Consider the following 4739-nt stretch of genomic DNA (forward strand, 5'->3'; position numbering starts at 1 on the left):
GGCTGATTGTTTTTAAGACAGGCCATCCAGTCACACAATGCAAGATTAAAGGTGCAAAAAGGGAGGTGAAAAACCTCCCTCCCACCCCCATCCCCAGCCATTTAACTACCCCTTCCCAGATGCAAGCAGCATTTCTGCTGCCTCACGTGGCCTTCCCAAGGTGGCAACATATATATAAGCAAAACTGTCTGTGGTGGTTGTTAGTGTTGTTCACCAAACATTTCCAATTCTTTTATCCTTCCAGGCCTATAGGAGTGATGCCAGGTACCTGCTTCTGCATTATAAACTACTCCAAACTTAGTGGCCTGTTTTATCATGCTCATGGATTCTGTGGGTCAGGAATTCAGGCAGGACTCAGCAGGGAAGATGCCAGGGACCTCAGCTGGATACTTGCATGGCTGGGGGTGACTCAAATTGCCAGGGGTTAGAATTATCATATGGAGGCTTCTTCACTCACATGTCTGGTGCTGGGGGTGGGATGACTGGATCATCCCAGCGTCCTGGGCTCAGCTGGGATTGTCAACCACAGTAGAGCACACACATGTGGCCTCTCCATTTGGCTAGGGCTTCTCACAGCAGCAGCTGACTGTGAGGAAAGAGCCCAAGAGGACAGTTCTGGGGAGCCGGCATTTTATGACAGCCAGGCCATATGGCCTTTCCTGACCTGGCCTCAGACTTCACTCTGCATCATTTCCACCATATTCTACCGATGACAAGAGAGTCATTAAGGTCAGACCAAATTCAAGGGGAGGGAAATTAAACTCTATCTCTTGCTGTGGGGGTGGCAAGGTTCCATTGCAGAGGTGCCCATGGGATGGGAATGCATTGTTACACTCATCTTTAGAAAATATAATCTGCCATAGTAATGTTGTGTCTCCCCACTCCTTTATTTATTTATTTATTTATTGAGACAGAGTCTCACTCTATCTCCCAGGCTGGAGTGCAGTGGAACGATCTCGGCTCACTGCAGCCTCTGCCTCCTGAGTTCCAGCGATTCTCCCACCCCAGCCTCCCAAGTAGCTGGGACTACAGGTGCACAACACCACGCCTGGCTAATTTTTGTATTTTTAGTAGAGACAGGTTTTCACCATGTTGGCCGGTCTGGTCTCAAACTCCTGACCTCAGGTGATCCACCAGCCTTGGCCTCCCAAAGTGCAGGGATTACAGGCATGAGCCACCATGCCAGCCCTTCTCCCCACCCCTTGAAAGCTACTTGTGGCCATGTGGTTTGCTTTGACCAATGAAATGTGAGCAGAAGTGACTTGTGTCACTTTTGGGTGCGAGCTTTAAGGACTATTGTATGATTTACCAAATTTCCCATTTCCTTTCACCACCTGCCATTGTAGAAGCACAAACTGCAATGAAGCCCCTACTACGCTGGGGCCCTGAGTGACTACTATGTGTAGTGCCACCCCACCACCCAACAAGCTGTGTTAGACATGTGGTGTATGCAGGAAATGAACTTTTGTTGCTTTAGGTCACTTAAACTTGGGATTGTTTGTTACTGCAGCAGAACCTAATCTATCCAGACCCTTCCTTTTTTTTGAGACAGAGTCTCACTCTGTCACCCAGGCTGGAGTGCAACATCTCTGCTTACTGCAACCTCTACCTCCTGGGTTCAACCAATTCTCCTGCCTCAGCCTCCTGAGTAGCTAGGATTACCATTCCCAGCTAATCTTTGTGTTTTTTAGTAGAGATGGGCTTTCCCCATGTTGGCCAGGCTGGTCTTGAACTCTTGACCTCAGGTGATCCGCCCGCCTCGGCCTCCCAAAGTGCTGGGATTACAGGCTGAGCCACTGTGCCCAGCCCAGACACTTCTTATGCAAGCCTTACACACTGTTCTGCACCCTGATTTTTTCCACTTAACAATATATCTTGGAGATTGTTTATATCAGTATACAAGCACTTCCACGCTTTTTTTTTAAATAGCTACATCGTATTCCTGGGTAGGAAAGGACATTTTACTTAATCAGTCTCTATTAAGGACAATTAGTATGATCCATCTTTTTGGACAATGCTGCAATGAATAGCCTTAAACATTTCTTTTTTTTTTTTTTTTTTTGAGACAGAGTCTCACTCTGTCATCCACGCTGGAGTGCAGTGGCACAATCTCCGCTCACTGCAACCTCTGCACCTGGCTAAGTTTTGGACTTTTAGTAGACATGGGGTTTTGCCATGTTGGCCAGGCTGGTCTTGAACTCCTGGTCTCAAGTGATCCTCCCGCCTCTGCCTCCCAAAGTATTGGGATTACAGGTGTGAGCCACCAGGCCCCACCAGCCTTAAGCATTTCTTATTTTGCTTGAGTGCAACGATATTTGTTTCTTTTGAGACAGAGTCTTACTCTGTCCCCCAGGCTAGAGTGCAATGGCACGATCTCAGTTCACTGCAACCTCCGTCTCCCAGGTTCAAGCGATTCTCCTGCCTCAGCCTCTCAAGTAGCTGGGATTACAGGCACCCGCCACCACACCTGGTGAATTTTTTTAAATTTTAGTAGAGATAGGTTTTGCCATGTTGGCCAGGCTGTTCTCAGACTCCTTCCCTCGTGATCCACCCACCTCGGCCTCCCAAGGTGCTAGGATTACAGGCGTGAGCCACAGCACCCGACTAAGTGCAATGATATTTGTAAGATAGATTCCTAGATGTGCACATCTCAGATGGTTGGTGGCAGATTTTCCCTCTTATTTATTTATTTATTTTTGAGATGGAGTCTCGCTCTGTTGCCCAAGCTGGAATGCACTGGCATGATCTTGGCTCACTGCAACCTCCACCTCCAGGGCTTAAGCGATTCTCATGCCTCAGCCTCCTGAGTAGCTGGGACTACAGGCCCGCACCACCATGCCCGGCTAATTTTTTATATTTTAGTAGAGATGGGGTTTCACCATGTTGGCCAGGGTGGTCTCGAACTCCTGAGCTCAGGTGATCAGCCTGCCTTGGCCTCCCAAAGTTCTGGGATTACAGGCATGAGCCACCATGCTTAGCCAATTTTCCCTTTTAAAAATATCACTTTGGCTGTAGGTGGAAAATGGCTTAAAGAGCTGGAACGAAATTTCCTGAGTGACATCTCCTCTTCACCTCTTATCTATTGCCATGTCCTGTTCATGCCAGCTACATGCCAGGTCTCCATCTGTCCACCTGTCTGCATGTCCTGGCCACTGCCCCAGCATAGGGCACCATCATTCCTCTCTCTAAAAGTTCCTTCTAAAAGGTCTCTCACCTGTCTTAGGATACTTGGCTTGCAGACAAGGAAGCCAATTCTGAGTAACTAAGCAGATGAGGAATGGATGGGGCAGCCTGGGGGGCTTGCTGAATCCCCCTCCCCCAGGAAGGGCCTAGCTTGACTGCCTTCCTTGCCTCCCCCAACCTCCACGGCCTCCACAGTGAATTCTAAATGATCCCCCTGATGTCTTGTGCCGGTCACATGCTCTAGATTCAAAGACCTGGTTGGAAACATTGGAATTGTGCTCCAGCTACCAGAGACCTGGGAGAAAAAATTCTACCTCCCTTCTTTGATTTCCTGAGTTGAAGGCAGGGTCTGCCTCCACATCTCATAGGATTCTTCTCAAACGGGAAGGGCTTCAGATGTTGGGAACTAAAACAACAACAAGCCAGCCCCCTCCCCTCAGCTTATCCTTCACAGTGCAGCCCAGAGCTCTCTATGAAAGCAAATCTGATCACCCTACTCAAAACCTCCGTGAGAGCTCCCTACCACCTTCAAGACGAAGTCCAAAATTCCTTAGGTGGCTCTCAAGGCCCTCCCTGATCCAGGCCCCTCCTGAGACTTCAGCCTCATTTCTTGCCCCCATGTCGACCCCATTGTGTACCACTGTGTACCTTTAAACCCCAGCTGGATGCTTAGGTGCTGAACGCAGGAGCCCTTCCTGACTTCCTCTACGGAACTTCGAACATGTGATACCCCTCTGTCCAGAAGGCTCTTTCCCTCCCTACTCCAGTAACCTGCACATTTTCACTGAATCTTCAGATTTCACTTGGACACAACAGCCTTCACTAAGTGAGGTACCTGCCCTATGTTCCACTGGGCCCTGGGTTTCCCTTTTTTTTTTTTTTTTTTGAGACGGAGTCTCACTCTGTTGCCCAGGCTGGAGTGTATTGGCACGATCTCGGCCCACTGCAAGCTCCACCTCCCAGGTTCACACCATTCTCCTGCCTCAGCCTCCCAAGTAGCTGGGACTACAGGTGCCCGCCACCATGCCCGGCTAATTTTTTGTATTTTTAGTAGAGACGGGGTTTCACCGCATTAGCCAGGAGGGTTTCCCTCTTTTAAGGTACTTAACTCCCTAGATCCTAGATCCATCCACTTTTCTCCGTCTCTATTGCCACCTTGTAGGTCCAGGCCACCACCATCTCTTTACTGGAATTCTGTAAACTCCTGACTGCTCTGCTTCCACTCTTGGCCCCCTAGGAATCCACCAGAGTGATATTTTTAAAATATAAATCATTCTTTCAAATGTTTCACATTTCACTTAGCAAAAACACTTCAGCCTCCTGGACGTGTTCACAGTCCTCCATGACCTAGCTAGTGCCTTTGCTCCTTCTGTCTCATCTCAGACCACTGGGCCCAGAAGCTGCGGACGCCTTCTCCTATTCCCTGAACACACCACTTAGTCTGGCTTAGAGCCTCTGCGTTTGCTGTTGCTTCTACTGGATCCGCTCAAATGTCACACCCTGAGAGTGTCACACACTCTCTTAACGTCCGAAGAGCAGTTGTCACTCTCTGAAAC

The sequence above is a fragment of the Homo sapiens genome, chromosome 5, assembly GCF_000001405.40.
Source record: "Homo sapiens chromosome 5, GRCh38.p14 Primary Assembly".
Lineage (NCBI taxonomy): Eukaryota > Metazoa > Chordata > Mammalia > Primates > Hominidae > Homo > Homo sapiens.